At 40.9% G+C, this 18,731-nt stretch overlaps 2 pseudogenes across 1 annotated transcript in view; both read right to left on the bottom strand.

Annotated features, from left to right (window-relative positions):
• ANKRD19P (ankyrin repeat domain 19, pseudogene) overlaps positions 1–18,731 on the bottom strand; it is a 28,847-nt pseudogene that overhangs the window by 5,535 nt on the left and 4,581 nt on the right. The window contains exons 4-8 of the transcript NR_026868.1: positions 14,499–14,605; positions 13,544–13,681; positions 10,646–10,713; positions 6,345–6,398; positions 3,760–3,985 (exon numbers count right to left, since the gene is read on the bottom strand). The product of NR_026868.1 is annotated as an ankyrin repeat domain 19, pseudogene (transcript). The remainder of the gene's footprint in view (positions 1–3,759; positions 3,986–6,344; positions 6,399–10,645; positions 10,714–13,543; positions 13,682–14,498; positions 14,606–18,731) is intronic.
• Positions 11,844–11,946, bottom strand: RNU6-714P (RNA, U6 small nuclear 714, pseudogene; annotated as a pseudogene).

Raw genomic sequence — 18,731 nt, 5'->3', positions numbered from 1 at the left:
TTTTCTAGTAGTTTTACAGTTTCAGTTCTTAGACCCCCTTAAGTCTTTAATCCATTTTGATTTGATTTTTGTGTATGGTGAGAGATAGGGTCTAGTTTCATTCTTCTCCATATAGTTATTCAGTTTTTGAAGATACTCTCCTTTCCCCCATGTATGTTCTTGGAGCGTTTCTTGAAAATCAGTTGGCTATGAATATGAGGATTTATTTCTGGGTTCTTCTATTCTATTCCATTGATCTTTGTGTCTGCTTTTGTATCAATACCATGCTATTTTGGTTACTACAGCATTGTAATGCTTTGAAGGTAAGTAGTGTGATGCCTCCAGCTTTGTTCTTTTTGCACAAAATTGCTTTGGCTATTTGGGCTTTTTATTGGTTTCATATAAATTTTAGTAATTTTTCTATTTTGGTGAAAAAAAGACATTAAAATTTTTATAGAAATTGCATTGAGCTCCCTCTCCCTCTCCCTCTCTTTCCACGGTCTCCCTCTGATGCCGAGCCGAAACTGGACGGTACTGCTGCCATCTTGGCTCACTGCAACCTCCCTGCCTGATTCTCCTGCCTCAGCTTGCCGAGTGCCTGCGATTGCAGGCGCGCGCCGCCACGCCTGACTGGTTTTCATATTTTTTTGGTGGAGACAGGGATTCGCTGTGTTGGCCGGGCTGGTCTCCAGCTCCTAACCGCGAGTGATCCGCCAGCCTCGGCCTCCCGAGGTGCCGGGATTGCAGACGGAGTCTCGTTCACTCAGTGCTCAATGGCGCCCAGGCTGGAGTGCAGTGGCGTGATCTCGGCTCGCTACAACCTCCACCTCCCAGCAGCCTGCCTTGGCCTCCCAAAGTGCCGAGATTGCAGCCTCTGCCCGGCCGCCACCCCGTCTGGGAAGTGAGGTGCGTCTCCGCCTGGCTGCCCACCGTCTGGGATGTGAGGAGCCCCTCTGCCTGGCTGCCCAGTCTGGAAAGTGAGGAGCGTCTCTGCCCGGCCGCCATCCCATCTAGGAAGTGAGGAGCGCCTCTTCCCAGCCGCCATCACATCTGGGAAGTGAGGAGCGTCTCTGCCCGGCCGCCCATCGTCTGAGATGTGGGGAGCACCTCTGCCCTGCCGCCCCGTCCGGGATGTGAGGAGCGTCTCTGCCCAGACGCCCCGTCTGAGAAGTGAGGAGACCCTCTGCCTGGCAACCGCCCCGTCTGAGAAGTGAGGAGCCCCTCCGCCCGGCAGCCGCCCCGTCTGAGAAGTGAGGAGCCCCTCCGCCCAGCAGCCACCCCGTCTGGGAAGTGAGGAGCGTCTCCGCCCGGCAGCCACCTCGTCCGGTCCGGGAGGGAGGTGGGGGGGGTCAGCCCCCCGCCCGGCCAGCCACCCCGTCCGGGAGGGAGGTGGGGGGATCAGCCCCTGGCCCGGCCAGCCGCCCCATCCGCGAGGGAGGTGGGGGGATCAGCCCCCCGCCCGGCCAGCCGCCCCGTCCGGCAGTTGAGGGGTGCCTCTGCCCGGCCGCCCCTACTGGGAACTGAGGAGCCCCTCTGCCCGGCCAGCCGCCCCGTCCGGGAGGGAGGTGGGGGGGTCAGCCCCCCGCCCGGCCAGCCGCCCCGTCCGGCAGTTGAGGGGTGCCTCTGCCCGGCCGCCCCTACTGGGAACTGAGGAGCCCCTCTGCCCGGCCAGCCGCCCTGTCCGGGAGGGAGGTGGGGGGGTCAGCCCCCCGCCCGGCCAGCCGCCCCGTCCGGGAGGGAGGTGGGGGGGTCAGCCCCCCCGCCTGGCCAGCCACCCCGTCCGGGAGGTGAGGGGCGCCTCTGCCCGGCCAGCTGCCCGTCCGGGAGGGAGGTGGGGGGGTCAGCCCCCCGCCCGGCCAGCCGCCCCGTCCGGGAGGGAGGTGGGGGGGTCAGCCCCCCCGCCTGGCCAGCCACCCCGTCCGGGAGGTGAGGGGCGCCTCTGCCCGGCCAGCTGCCCGTCCGGGAGGGAGGTGGGGGGGTCAGCCCCCCGGCCCGGCCAGCCGCCCCATCCGGGAGGGAGGTGGGGGGGTCAGCCCCCCGCCTGGCCAGCCGCCCCGTCCGGGAGGTGAGGGGCGCCTCTGCCCGGCCAGCCGCCCGTCCGGGAGGGAGGTGGGGGGGTCAGCCCCCCGCCCAGCCAGCCGCCCCGTCCGGGAGGTGAGGGGCGCCTCTGCCCGGCCGCCCCTACTGGGAAGTGAGGAGCCCCTCTGCCCGGCCAGCCGCCCCGTCCAGGAGGGAGGTGGGGGGGGTCAGCCCCCCGTCCGGCCAGCCGCCCCGTCTGGGAGGTGAGGGGCGCCTCTGCCCGGCCGCGCCTACTGGGAAGTGAGGAGCCCCTCTGCCTGGCCACCACCCCGTCTGGGAGGTGTACCCAACAGCTCATTGAGAACGGGCCATGATGACAATGGCGGTTTTGTGGAATAGAAAGCGGGGAAAGGCGGGGAAAAGATTGAGAAATCGGATGGTTGCCGTGTCTGTGTAGAAAGAGGTAGACATGGGAGACTTTTCATTTTGTTCTGTACTAAGAAAAATTCTTCTGCCTTGGGATCCTGTTGATCGGTGACCTTACCCCCAACCCTGTGCTCTCTGAAACATGTGCTGTATCCACTCAGGGTTGAATGGATTAAGGGCGGTGCAAGATGTGCTTTGTTAAACAGATGCTTGAAGGCAGCATGCTCGTTAAGAGTCATCACCACTCCCTAATCTCAAGTACCCAGGGACACAAACACTGCGGAAGGCCGCAGGGTCCTCTGCCTAGGAAAACCAGAGACCTTTGTTCACTTGTTTATCTGCTGACCTTCCCTCCACTATTGTCCTGTGACCCTGCCAAATCCCCCTCTGCGAGAAACACCCAAGAATGATCAATTAAAAAAAATAATAATAATAATTAAAAAAAAAAAGAAAAGAAATTGCATTGAATTTGTAGATTGCTTTGGGCAGTACAGTCATTGTAATAATATTAGTTCTTCCAATCCATGAGCATGGGATGTCTTTCCACTTGTTTGTGTCCCTTCAATTTATTTCATCAGTGTCTTGTAGTTTTCCTTGTAGAGTCTTTAACCTTGTTGGTTAAACTTATTCCTAGGTATTTCGTTTTTTGTAGCTATTTGAAATGGGATTGGCTTCTTGATTTATTTCTCATCTATTTCATTATTGGTGTATAGAAAGGCAACTGGTTTTTGTATGTTAATTTTGTCTCCTGCAACTTTACTAAATTTACTGATGGGAGATTTTTGGTGAAGTCTTTAGATTTTTCTAAATATAAGATCATATTATCTGCAAAAAAGGACAATTTGACTTCCTCATTTCTTTTCAGTGGCAGCAACTGTAAGCAGGTGGCTGGGGGACGTATGTGTCAGCTCTAGGTGGTGGCTGCAGGTGGGGTAGCCAGCAGGGCACTTGTAAATGTGTGGTGGTCCTGCTGCTTGGGAGTGTCAGGATTGCTGCCAGTGGCTCGCACTTCAGCTCTGATGGCAGTAGCCAGCAGTAGTAATGGCTGTAGATATGGGAAGTCAATAGATCTCTAGAGATGTGAAAATGTAGGGACTGCTGGGCTCCAGAGCAGGATGCAGTCTGGTGATGGCTGGACTCTCAAAATGGCTCCTTAGAGCTCAGGAGATGTATGCAATGCAGCATAGGCTCCCTCTCTGGAGCAATGCCATCACACAGTTTCCAGGCAGCTCCCTGTGTAAGTCTTAGGGCCCACGAGTGTCAAGGTGCTCTCCTGTGGCTAGAATTGCAGGAGTTTGTGGTGGGAGTGTAGACCAATGGGGGTCTCTTACTTACCTTTTTCCCACATTGTGGAGCCTCTTTGAGGTTCCCAGCCAACCCTAGCCAGGCAGGCTGCCTCTCTTCCCTCTCTTTCCTTGCGTTAGGTGTTTCCTGTTACTTCTCTGTTGAATTCCAGTATTCTTTTTTAGATTATCTATTAGAAGTGTGATCACTCACTATTTTGGTTCTTCTTTGTGGAGGAGGCAAATGCTAGATGCCTCTAGTCAGACGTCTTGAATCCCTTCATCACAAGAGCACATATTTTACATGGAAATAATGAAGATAATTAAGATCACTAATTAGGAGCTAGCTGCAGTGACTCATGCCTGTACTCCCAATGCTCTGAGAGGCCAACATGGCAGGATTGCTTGAGGACAGGAGTTCAAGACCTGCCTGGGCAACATAGGGAGACCCTGTCATCACAAAAACATTTTTTTAAAGAATTAGGCAGGTGTGGGTGGCACACACCTGTAGTCCCAGCTACTCAGGAGGCTGAGGTGGGAGTATTGCTTGAGCCAAGGAGTTCAAGGTTGTGGTGAGCTGTAATCACACCACTGCATTCTAGCCTGGGTGACAGAGTGAGATCCTGTTTTTTATTTTTTTTAAATCAGTAATTAGAGTATCCCATTGGAACTGTAACTATTTAACTCAATATTGGAAAATATGGTATATAAAGTACTATGAAAGGTACAAGTATTAATATAAATATTGAGAGTAAATAATTAAAAGTAGACTATGTTAACAGGAGGTTTTAAAATAGGCATTAAATTTTGTGAAAAGTTTGGTTCATCTTTTATTGATAATATATATGCTTGATTAAAATATTTAAAGCATTACAAAGAAATATGCAGTAAATGCTATCTTTCTATCACCACTATCTGACAGTTCCCACATTCCTCTGTCAATTATAAGCTTTCAAAAATTAGCAGAAAATAGGCATGGGAAGTTGTGTAGATATATATTTACACACATACATCTTTGTTTTTTCACCTAGCATACCTTGGTAACTAGTCTATATTAGTACACATATATCTGTGTCACTTATTTTGTAAGTGTTATTTGTAGATATATTATATGAATTGATAATGGATGTGCCATCATTTACCCAAGCCCCTACTGATGGCCATTTATTTTTAGCTAGTATTCTTACATTTCAAAGTGCATAGTATTTATAACCGGGATTTTTGCATTGGAGAAATTTTAATTTTATACATCAAAGACATTAAAGGGCTCTTACTTTTCTGGCAGCTGGATAACTGAAAAGACTAATTATATATACATATATTTAACTATATTCTAATATGGTTGTGGTAGAGTTTTCTGCGTGAGTGCTTTAGAAGCCATTTTTGTTTATGGTGAATTGTCTTCTTGTTTTCTTTTCCTATTGCTTTACTGTTCTATCTTTTCTTTGTTGATTTCATATATTTATGAAATAATCCCTTTGTCATGTGCCTTACACATATTTCTTATGAATCTGTCATTTATCTATTGATTTTTGTTGTGATTTACTTAACTGTGCATTTTTTCTTTTAAATTTGTATTCTGACATAATTTCAGTCTTAAATTTATGAGAACATTACAAAATTCCCATATATCCTTCACACAGATTCCCCAAATGTTAACATTTTTACTACATTTGCTTCCACTCTCTGCCCATTAACATAAGTGCATTTACACACACTCAAACACACATTACTTTTTTCTGAGCCTTTGAGGGTGAGTTGCAAACGTTATTCTCCTTGACCTCAGATTCTTCCTTTCGTATTTTCTAATAATGAAGACATTCTCCTATATAACCATGTAAAATTATGAAAGCAGGGATTAACATTGATTTAGTGCTATTACCTAATTGACCTTCCCAGAGTGTATGTATTTGTCTACTTGAGAGGGATGATGATGGGGCATCACCAGCAGCTCAGTAATGCCAGAAAAAGGAGCAGACAGAGAAAGGGCTGCAGATGGAGATTTGGGCAGAAGCCAGTTTCTGAAAGCCTTATATAAACCAACTATTATTGTCATTTCTTAAGTTTATAAAAAAAAGCAAAACAAATTAGAAAAGCATAATTCCAAGAAAAAAACCAACATTTTATTTTATTGTATCTTGTCTTATTTGACTTGATTTTTCTTAGAGATGGGTTCTCACTCTGCCACCCAGGCCACACTGTAATGTTGCTATCATAGCTAACTGCAGGCTCAAACTTCTAGGCTCAAGTAATTCTCCTGCTTCAGCCTCCCAAGTAGCTGGGATCACAGGTGCAGAACACCACACCCAGCTACAGTGTTTGAAAAAATAGACACGGGGTCTGGTGATGTTGCCCAGGCTGCTGGACCTCCTAGACTCAAGGGATGCTTCTATCTCAGCCTCCAACACTGACGAGATTACAGGCAGGAACCACCATCCCCGGCAATACCAATATTTTCAAATGAACAAACTGGAGCGCCATCATTTTATTTTATCATGGATGGGTGAAAACTTTGTAATAGACTCATGTACTCCATGGATTTGTGACAAGGAATCTATAGCATTAACTATGGCTGAAGCTTCCCTTGTCTCCCAGCCTCTTTACGTGGTTAAGAGTAGAAACACTCAAATGTCTTACCTTTTGCACCTTCTTGTCTTTTTTTCAAAATTCAAGGCTTCATAGCTGCTGTTTCTGTCAAACATGCAAGCTTGTTAGATATTCCTTCTGGAAAACATCATCCCTCTGCCTCTTTACCTGGCAAAGCTTCACTAACTCTGCGTGCTTCCCCTAAATCCTACCCATTTTTTTAGAAGCTTGCAGTCATCACCACAAATTTAAAAGTGCATGGCATCTAATGAACATAATAAACACCTAGTAAATAATAACTACATGCTCCCAGGTGACATCTATCCTCCATCTACCCTCTACATAATGGGTCAGCACACTGTAGACCACAGGCCAAATCCTGCCTACCATGTTTTTTCTCAGTGAAGTTTTATGAGAGTACAGTCATGCCTATTCACTGACTTGCCACCTATGACTGCTTTCACACTACAATGGCAGGGTTGAGTAGCTACGACAGAGCTACTTAAGGCCATTTAAGCATGGCCTTCAGCTGCTTAAATCATTTTTGAAAGAGAGAGAGAGACCACATGGCCTAAAATATTTCCTATTTGGCCCTTTACAGAAAAAGCTTGCCAATCCCTGCCTTATACCCTGAACAGAATGCCCTAATTCTCAAATCGAATCTAATGCCTCCCCTGCTCACAATTTTCCAATGAATTTCTAGAGCAAATACAGCTGGCTCCCTACCCAAGAGCAGTTCCTTGTTGTTTCTTGCTGGAGAATCACAAATTTATTTGGGTATTTATTATCCCAATACCCCTCCCCAGCTTCAAAGGATAAGTGATTATTCTAAGCTAATCAGATAACTACATTTGCTTTCCCAGTGCCTGGTTTAGGAAGGAGCATGTGGTGTGACCCAGCTAATAAAATATTACAAAAAGGGTTGAGCACGGTGGCTCATGCCTGTAATCCCAGCACTTTGGGAGGCCGAGGCAGGCAGATCACGAGCTCAAGAGACCGAGACCATCCTGGCCAACATGGTGAAACCCCGTCCCTACTAAAAATACAAAAATGACCTGGGCGTGGTCGCAAGTGCCTGTTGTCCCAGCTCCTCGGGAGGCTGGGGTAGGAGAATTGCTTGAACTTAGGAGGTGGAGGCTACAGTGAGCCAAGATCGTGCCACTGGACTCCAGACTGGTGATAGAGTGAGACTACATCCCCGGAAAAAAAAAAAAATTACAAAAAGTCCCCTGCATGCTTCTGAGTTTTCTCCCAATTTAAAAGACACATGTGAAGAAAAGCAGCCCTTCCAGCCTTTAGATACTGTCTTGTGATAACATGATGTTTGGAGCTGTTGCTAAGTAGCCAACCATGAAAGGAGACATGAACAAGACACTGCCAACAGCATAGCTGAAAGAGGAACAAGTGGGATCCAATAATATCGCTGGACAACCAAAACAAGTCTGGTTCTTATAGTTTTGGCCACTGTTAGGTCTTCTAGAATTTGCAGCTGAAAGCATTCTACCTCAGAAGTTTCCCCTGGCCTACAGGATAAGATCTACTCATTTCTATACTATTAAAGGTCTTTCATTGAACTTGTTTCTAGAAACAGGTAAAACAACAACAAAGTCTTTCCTAAGCTTGCCTTCACTGACACATACTAAACATAATAAATACATAATAAATAATAACTATAAGCTATTTTCACCTCATTACCAAGCACTCCATATATATTTTTTTGCACTAGCAAATTTGAACTGCTCATAAACTCTACAAAGTTCACTCAGATGTCCTATCTTTTGAACTTGCTCCTTGTGTTTTAAAATTTTCATTCTTCATGGCTGCTGCTTCTGTCAAACATGCAAGCTTGTTAGATACTCCTTCTGCCAAGCATCATCCCTCTGCCTCCTTACCTGGCAAAGTTCCACTCACTCTGCACGCTTACCCTAAATCCTACCCACATTTTAGAAGCTTGCATTCATTACCACAAATGTAAACATGCCTGGCACATACTGAACATGATACATACATAATAAATAATAACTATAAGCTCCCAGATGACATTGGACACACAGTAAGCACTACTTAAGGTAGTAAATAAAATAAATAACAGTGGTAATAACAATCTCCTAACTATTTTTTAAATGTATTTTGTAACATTGGAAAAATGCTTAGTCTATAAAAGATACATGATGGTTATTTTTTAAGTGGATAAGTATATGAATGAATTAAAATATTTTTCTTAAAAATTCTGTTGAAAAAAACACAAAAATTAAACAGTTATCTATATTCTATTATGAGCATCTTAAAGACAAAAACTATGTCAATTCCATCTTTGTCTCCTACAATTTGCCAAACCTAACTTATAGAAGTGGTTTGATAATTATTTACTAAATTAACGGTGTCTTTATACGGTTCAGACTGTACAATGCATTAGGTGTCATGTTTTTGTTATTGTGAACCATTTTTATAATTTTATTATAATTTTTTTCATTTTTTGAGCCTAGAGTTTGGCTATTAGAATATTTATTATGATCATATCTTGCCTAATGGTAACAGAGTATCTTTTTTTTTTTTTTTTGAGATGGAATCTTGCTCTGTCACCCAGGCTGGAGTGCAGTGGCGCATTCTCGGCTCACTGCAATCTACACCTCGCGGGTTCAAGCAATTCCCCTGCCTCAGTCTTCCGAGTAGTTGGGAATACAGGTGACCACCCTCATGCCTGGCTAATTTTTGTACTTTTAGTAGAGATAGGGTTTCACCATGTTGGCCAGGCTGGTCTCAAACACCTCACCTCAAGTGATCTGCCTTCCTTGGCCTCTCATGTGCTGGGATTACATGCATGAGCCACCACACCCAGCCTGGTAACAGATTATCTTCTTCCAGCAAAATTACTATTATTATGATAATTATCCAGCACATAAAAACACACAGCTTGTTCTAAGAAGTGAATATATCTCATGAGCTTCCAACTTATGGTGAATAAATTACAAATAGACCTTGTTTGTATAGGAATACATAACATAACTTCTGCTTCTTGGGAAGGAATTACTTTTCTGTCTTCTGCATTCAGTAGGTATCTTCAAAAATAATCTCCTATTTGTATGGGTGCACACTGGCTCAGTTTTATGGTTCTTATTGCCATTTGTTTATGGTATCAGAAAGGGATTGTTGAATTCCTAGTTCTAAAGACAGTTACTTTCTTAGTGACACAGATTCCTGTGTAATACAGTTGACCCTTGAACAACAAGAGTTTGAACTGCAGGGGTCCACTTATATGCAGATTTTTCTTCTGCTTCTGCAACGCAGAGACAGCAAAACCAACCGTTTTCTTCCTCCTCAGCCTAATCAACCTGAAGATGATAAAGATGAAGACCTTTGGGAGGATTCACTTATGTTTATGAATAGTAAGTATATTTTTTCTTTTCGATGATTTTCTTTATAACAGTTCATTTCTCTAGCTTACTTTATTTTAAAAGCATAGTATATAATAATGCAACACATACCAATTATGTGTTCATCGACTGTTTATATTATCAGTAAAGTTTCCAGTCAACAGTAGGCTATTAGTAGTTACGTTTGGAAGGAGTCAAAGTTATACTCAGATTTTCAACTGCACAGGGATCAGAGTCCCTAACCCCCACGATATTCAAGAATCAACTGTAATTAACTTTATTTACTAAATATAAACCATTTACTATAAAAATTAAATAGAAGATCCATTTGCAATAACAAGTCCAATTTGTAACAATGTAATTATAGAAGAAAATGCAACATATTAACTTAAAAATCTAATTTCTTATTTCTATTAATACAAAAATATCATGTAGAATTTCAGGGATCATAAGTAGGTAAATGAATTTTTTTCAGACAATACTGTTTGAGATTGAGAATTAGCTACAACTAACTTCTTAACTGAATTCTAAAGAAATTAAATTAAAAAAATTAATTTATATATAAATATATATATTTTAAACTGCTCTTTTATGATTAAAAATATGTAATCTTACTTTTTTTTGTTTTTTTTGGAGATAGAGTCTTGCTCTTTCATCCAGGTTGGAGTACAGTGGTGCCATCTCAGCTCACTGCAATCACCTGGGTTCAAGTGATTCTCCTGCCTCAGCCTCCTGAGTAGCTGGGATTACAGGTGTCCGCCACCATGCCCAGCTAATTTTTGTATTTTTAGTAGAGATGGGGTTTCACCATGTTAGCCAGGCTTGTCTCAAAATCCTGACCTCAGGTGATCCACCCGCCTCACCTTCCCGAAGTGCTGGGATTACAGGTGTGAGCCACCATGCCTGGCCTGTAATTTTGCCTTTTAAAATCAGTAAGATCACCAAGAGAAATGAGAAATTTACTATCAGAAGTCTTACCTTGATTATCATTTCAAAGATGACTTTTAAGTATCTTATTTTTATGTTCCAAAATTTGTTGTTGAATGCTATGCATAATAAATGTAATAAATAAAATTAGTATTTTAATAGTGATATGAAAAATATTTACCAAACATATTAAATTCTTAAAGCATTTCAGACAATATCAGAGCTAATATCGGAACTCTAATGTCCCATACACTTTAAAATTTTAAGCTCTATAAACTTATTAAGCTTCTAATTAAAGAAGAAAAACAGGGAGTACTCATAAACCGAGAAAAGCATAGCTCAGTAAATTAATTCTAGTTAGCTAGCTTAACAGCTTGGAAACTGTCCTGCACTCAGAGTAAGTCCTCGCTCTGTAACTAATAGGTATTTTGTTTTCAGATGAGTTGCTTCTCTTAGGCTCCATGGCTTCTTCTAAAAAGTAGAGATTTTACTATTTGACTTCACTAGGTTGTCAGGAGGATGTAATGAGATAACATGTTCAAATGTTCAGAGAAATCGTAAAGCAATGGAAAAATTTACTCTTGAACTGTATTGCTGAAACCATTTTGGAATCTCAAACAAAATCTGATGGGTGTTTTTTCATAGGTTCTAATATTTGGATGTCACAGTTTTCAGAGAATGTTACTAAGTGCTAATTTTGGTTATTAGTTCTGTTCATTGTGGCTTGTAGTTCACAGCATTTTAGCTAGTTCATAACTTGTAACCAAATTTATACATAAATATATTATTATCTCATTAAAACATATAACCTAATTGTCCCCTATTACTGAGCACATCAGTCACACCAAGGGCAGAAAACTAATAGGTGTCAAAACCCGGCTGGGACAACTACCATTCCTTCTCTACCTCCTCAAACTCGGAGCCAGCAGGTCTGTGTTAGAGGCTGCATCTTCTGGGTCCTCTCTGACTGACATACAAGACAAAGCCCTGCTTGTATTGTTTTTTGGTTCCATGAAAGAGATGCAAGTTTATGTTTCCTCATTTCCAAGTCATGGACTAACAACATATTTGCATGTGACATCCCATATGCTACTCAGCTCTGTTCTCATTTCACAGATCACCTTATATGAATACTTTCATAATGATCATAATAACAATTTCCATATCGGGTGTCTCCTGTTTTGGTTTGACTCACATTGTTTCCTTGAAGCTAGTTAACAAATAGTCAAACGACCTTCTGGGTACTGTGCAACATGTGGAATGCTTTCTGAATTTGTGTGCCATCGTTAGGCAGCAGGCATGCTTATCTGTTCTGTATTGATCCAATTTTAGAATATGTGCTGCTAGGGCAAGTATAAAGCCCTGTTTTATACATGGATACTCATAAGTCATGGATGAGGCTTAGCTCTGTGAAATACAAATTACTTACTTTAGATACAGAGAATTCTATCAAATGACTTCCTGTGAAGTAGAATTTTAAAATGTTCTCACTCATAGGTGGGAATTGAACAATGAGAACACATGGACACAGGAAGGGGAACATCATACACCGCGGCCTGTTGTGGGGTGGGGGGAAAGGGGAAGGATAGCATTAGGAGATATACCTAATGTTAAATGATGAGTTAATGGGCGCAGCACACCAACATGGCACATGTATACATATGTAACTAACCTGCATGTTGTGCACATGTACCCTAAAACTTAAAGTATAATTAAAAAAAAAAACTTGAGGTAGAGATGCAAGTAGCCTTAGAGATTTTCATTACTGTGGAAACACATTACTTGAGGGGCCAACGGCAAGTTGGTGCCCACTATCTATTGAAGGATAATGTGGAACCTTTTGCTATCTAACAAAAGCTGCTACACAGGACAGAAAAAAGCCTCAAGGTACAGATGTGATAACAAAAGGCAAAGGGACCTCTTCTCTCTTCCTGCAACATTATTTGAACATCCCTGACTGTTGAGTACAATCCCAACTAATATTTGCTAGAGAAAAGATGGACACTGGCCTCAAAGGATTACTTACCATGAAGGACTAGGGTAAGCCTAGCTAAGACGTGGGCTACAAATAAGGTTTTTAGTGTTGGGGAAAGGTCAATTTACTCACTATGTGTGTGGGTAAAGCCAGGAGGCCTTGCTGCCAGAGCAGGGTGCTGGGAACAATGGCTGAGCCTATGTACATGAACTAAAAAACATTGCAGCTGTGGACTCTGTGTATAAGTCACCATGAAGAGTGAGGGATCTGAATCAGTAACAGCATCCTGGTGGCAAAAGTTAATCATTACCAGATTGCAGGACCAGTTACAATGGCAGCAATACAGCAAGTGAATCAATGGAAACAACAGAATGACTAGAATGGCCTTTTCCCCCCTTCTTCTGACTTGTAAAGTAAGATTGTCTTCCTTGGACTTAGAGAACCCCTTAGCTTTTTGAAAAATTCAAAGGAGGAAGGCATAGGAGGTAGCCCCAGGGGACAATACAAGATTTTCTGCTAAACTGGATATTTCAAGACCCAATAACTAATTAGAAAAGTCAGGCCAGGCATGGTGGCTAGCAGTTTGTGAGGCCGAGGCAGGAGAATCACTTGAGCTCAGGGACATGGGCAACATAGTGAGACCTTGTTTCAAAACAAAAGAAAGAAGAAAAAAAGTAAAAGATGTGACGTTATTTATATCTCACATATGAGGGTTATACTTGGAATAAAATGAACAACACTGAGATCCCTAGGGATAAAGGTCTTTAAAAGTCCTGAAAGAATCTTGCATTCATTGCTACTTCTAACTAATCTAGCTTTCTGTTTGATTTCTGGCTAAAAAGTGGACTAACTTGTTGCCATTCCAAACTACCTCAAACAAACTATGAACTGTCACCTAATGTATAAGATGCAATATTTGTAATTATTTTAAACCTTAATTTAGTATTAACTGGTCTTTTAATATAAGCACATACCTTCTGAAATTATAACAAACAGCATAATCCTCGGCAGTCTGGCCAAACAGGTCTTGAGAAAAGATATTTATATTTTGTTGAAGGAGGAGGCTGACGATACTTGATGAGTTATGCTGTACTGCAAGCATGAGGGCTGTTCTAAAATAATAAAGAAATAACAGCACTCAAGAACTTTAATAAAGATATTTCATTAGCAAATTGGATACACTTCACCAATTTCGTATCTTGCCTGTCAGGATAGACATAATAACCATATACATGTACTAGCTTATGTGTATAAGCATCTTGGGTGCTAAAGTGTTCATCTGGGTAAATTACCACCAAGACTAAAAGGCAGGGACAACAAGCAAGCTTCATGTTCCATTGGGATATGACATAATACAAGTTGCTAATTTATAGTCCTTTGATGGCCAAGAAACTGTGCTGAGGTCACTTATCTAAAGTAGGCAAAGATTTAGATGAAGATTTCCCCATTGCTTTCCTAGTCTGATACAGTGTAATTCAAAATCAGCTAGGGATCAAATAAGTAAGAGCTATCTGCAGGCTTAAAACAACAGCAATAATAATAATAATAATAATAGTAATAATAATAATAATAATGGTAATAGTAGTAGTTGTAAACTGAAAGTTAAAGTCTACGCTTTATAAAATTAATAAAATACAAAACCCCTTTAGCTAATATAAGATTACAGGACCAAAAATATCAGATTACAAGTAACGGTCTATAAGAGAAGATGAATCCTACTATATACTGTTTTTTATGTTTCTCAGTCCAAATAACTGCTTTTCTACCTAACTGATTATTCATGTTATTTTTTACTATATGCCAATAGTTATAAGTTAATCTTATTAACATTTCTGACTTGAGTGACTGTTACCACTCTAGAACATTCAGGTTTTTAGGAAAAAAAAAAAACAAAAAACAAACAAACAAAAAAACCAAAAACTATTGCACCTTCTGAAATTGTCAATGGCATGTAAATTTGCCTGGTTCTTCAACAGAAATTCCACAATTTGCTGTCTCCTAGAATTTATAGCAAACAAAAGTGGAGTGTTTCCCTCCTGTAAAAAGCAAAAACAATTTATAATTCACAAAATTACGTATTTCTTAACTGAACTAAAAATCTTCTATAAGATGCTATGAACTTAAACATGCAATATAGAGAGAAAGTAAATGCAAAGCAGTCCCGTCCTTTTCACTCCTCTGTGCTTTCCCACACACTGCCTTGAAACACCCCTCCTCTGCCTCCCCACGTTAACTTCGGTCATCTCCAAAACTCACTATGTTTACCAATCCCCAAAATCCTTGCTTCTATCTCAGCATTTAGCACAGTACATTGTAATTATTTCATTGTTTCCCACTGAAACCAAGAACTTCTTGAGGGCAAGGGCTGTATCTTTTTTCTCTATAACCCTAAAACTTAAGACATAGTAGCGAATGCTTTACGTTTTTAAAATAAATTAATGATCTAAATTATTATCTTTAGAGCAGTGTTTCTTAAACTATATTTCAAAGAATATTTGTTTTACCAGAAGAACTGTACCCCAACAAAAAGATTCCACGATCATCTGCATTTGAGAAGTATTACAAAACTGTATTACATGGCCAACAATCTAGAAATCCCTTGAACTTTGCCTAATCTCAATTTGACAATACTTTTTGTGGCAAACATTAACATTTTAGGAACTAGAGTTTCAGGGATCCTGTTGCCAGAGCTTCCCAGTACAAGTGGAGGTTTCCTCTGGGTGGCACAAACTTGCTTGATTCACTTCTATCAATGGTGTCAGGATGCCAATGTCAGGCACTCCTGGTCCAAAGGGGCCACTAAGGAAATGAGCTGTGAATTAAGAGAGATTGGCTTCAAATGCACTTATTTTCCTTATTATTAAATAGTCCATGGGATTTTTCCTAATACAAGAGGATAGATTTTTATCTTAACTATTAGAAAGTTCAGTATGTTCTGTGTAAGAGAGACCAGTTAAAAATTTTTGAAAATAAATATTAAAAAGCAAAGCTCAGTAAGAAATTTTATTCTCAATTATAATGATAATCCTGGGATGCTAATGCAACTTTACTTTTTAAATCCATTTGTATTGGTTTCCATTTAAATTGCTATTTAACTTTTTTTTACTTCAGGCAAAATATAAATCAGAAATAAAAATACAATGGCTTATCAATAAAAGTTCTAATACTGATGTATAGGGCTTATTTCTAGCATAATAAAAGCCAATAAGTCACTTGAATTTTTTTTTTGAGACGGAGTCTCACACTGTCTCCCAGGCTGGAGTGCAGTGGCATGATCTCCGCTCACGGCAAGCTCCGCCTCCCGGGTTCACGCCGTTGTCCTGCCTCAGCCTCCCAAGTATCTGGGACTACAGGTGCCTGCCACCATGCCCGGCTAAATTTTTGTATTTTTAGTAGAGACAGGGTTTCACCGTCTTAGCCAGGATGGTCTCGATCTCCTGACCTCATGATCCACCCATCTCAGCCTCCCAAAGTGCTGGGATTACAGGCGTGAGCTACCGTGCCCAGCCGTCACTTGCATTTTTAAGGGAAACTGCTGAGAAGAAAGATATAATCCTGCAATATTCATAATCTATCCACTTCCCAGCAGGAATAACCTAAAAAGGCTTCTAGGCATTCCTATAAGCAGATGACTATTTATGGTATAGATATAAAAAAACAGTTAAAAAAAAAACTTCTGAATTCTAAAATTCAACTTTATAATTGAGGGATTTATATAAACTATAGACTATATATTATGAACCAATATATGCTGTCTTGAAAACCTTGAAATCTTTATGAAAACATACTATAAAAAAGGAGTTGTAAGCTCCAATACTTATAAGGATGAAGGAGGTTACCTAAGTAAGTGAAGTACTCAGGTGGGCACAGTAGCATACTGGAGAATATGTGCCTCCTACACAGGGCAACCTCTGCACAGCAGACCAAGAAGTGATGCGGTCCAGGGGACACTAGATTTGATTCTTAAGACAAGCCTGAGGTCCAGATATCTGCATGAGTCTACTAAATTTTACATGTTGACTCAATTTAAAGAGGCAAAGAACAAATCTATATGCCACACTTAGACTATAGCCCTTGTATTTTTATATTTGCTATGAATGTGTTGCTAAATGATTGTGTATAAACCAAGTATTTGCATGTGGAACCTTTTCTTTCTGTAGTAGCATATGTTTAATAAAAAAACTCAGGCTCTGATATATACATAATAAAAATTGCTGTTAAGACTCATAGTATCCACCTCAAGAATTTTCCCAATATTTATTCGTTTGCAATCTATGTTTATATAGTTTTCCCAGATTGTTAACCAAATAGATAATTAGTTCATAGGAATGCTGAAACTAAATTACTAAAAGAATTCCTATTGTATTCTCACTGACTTCAAGGATTTCAGTGTTTAAAACTGACATCCTGATTATGCCAAAGCTCTATAAACTTAACAGACATACTGAGATAGTCCCTAATACAACTTCAACTGAAAAAAAAAAAAGGTTCAGGATTTGCTGCTAATGTAATTGAGAAAATCTCACTTGTAATGAACATTTGTTGACACATAATCACTTGAATGGTGACAAAGGAACATGAAATTGTGAAAGGGTCAGCCTCTACTTATTGAAAGATTACCCACAAGTAAATTGCTAAAGACTTTCTGAATGGCAGTGAATGATTCCTGGTGGGAAGCAAAAGGTGTTATTCTGTCAGCTGAGAGATATTGCCTATGATACTTCCTTTCACTTCCCAGTCACAAATATAGAGAAAGACAGATAAGTCAGGCTAATGTTATTGGAAAGGAGAACTTTGAAGAAAGTAGTACCTATCAAATGCCAACTCTTTCAGAGATTTCTTATGTCTTTGAGATATGGGAATTTATATACTGCACTTATCTATTCTGTGCTTCTTAATCAGGAGTGTATTCGAATGCTGAGGTATTATTATTATTATTATTTTTCGCTCTTGTTGTTGTAAGAGACAAGAATCTTACTATGTTTCTCAGGCTGGACTCAAACTCCTAGGCTCAAGCAATCCTCCCACCTCAGCCTCCTGAGTAGCTGGGACTACAGGAACATGCCACTGTGCATGGCTTCAAGAAAATATTTTTAACCATACATGTTCAGAACTTATGATCTATTACATCAAAATCCTCAGGGGAAAGCCCACACTTGTAGACTTTTAACAAAATTTCCCCAGGTCACTGTAATGCACAATTCTAGCTGAGAATTACTGTGGCAGACGATCGCTTCAGTTTCATCTCTCACCCACATGGCCAATATCCTTTATCAGCTTGGGATGTGGCCAGAAAGAGAAAAGAGTATGAGATAGAGTTATTTATTAAAACGCCAGTGAATTTTCCTGGGTGTGGTTATAACAGGGATAAGTAAACTCAAAATCCCAGTTGATTTTGCTATTTATAAGCTCCTTATCTCCCACCTTCCCACCAAGACATTCTAGATTTGAAAGGAGAGTTTAGACTCTTATCTAAGTGGCTGTTTTTGCCAGGATGGGTAATAAGTCAGTTACTAATTTGTTCCACCCTTTGCTGAAGTGTTTCTCACTTCATCACCATATATTCACTGCCAATCTGGTTTCCTCAGAGTCCTCTAAAAATTAATCTTTAGGCAAGTTTCAATCCCTCTTTTACCAAACCAAAAATGATTACCCCAAAGCTGAAGAGTGCTTTGTCTCAATACATAAACTGGAAAAACAACAAACTAAAAAACAAAACCTCTTCTTGGTATTTTCTCTCATTACCTAATTTTCAACTGACCTGCATGTTTTTGATTGCTTCCCTTTTCCCTTCCCATTTTTCCCTCTTAAACCTTGCCAATGAAAGATACATCCCTTTTGTTAGAAAACCGTCAGCAGCAGCAAGACTTCCATTTATTTTAAGTTGCTGTTTTGGATAGAATGAGCTTGATGTTTGGATTCAGTTAAACTAGGGCTTGAGTTCTACTTTGGACTCGGTCACGTACCAGCTATTGCTGGTTTTAAGATAAAGCCTATTTCCAGGGTAACTTTTTTCCTGTGATTTTTTTTAATACTAATTAGAAAAATAATTAGTATTTTCCTACACCTGGGGTAGGAAACAAATACTTGAAGAAGTTTTAGCTTAACAAATTCACAAATATTTCCCATAAGTGCACTAAAAAAGCTTCTTTAAAAGTATCA

This window comes from Homo sapiens, chromosome 9, assembly GCF_000001405.40.
Source record: "Homo sapiens chromosome 9, GRCh38.p14 Primary Assembly".
Classification (NCBI taxonomy): domain Eukaryota; kingdom Metazoa; phylum Chordata; class Mammalia; order Primates; family Hominidae; genus Homo; species Homo sapiens.
This window is presented reverse-complemented; position numbering and strand designations above follow the sequence as displayed.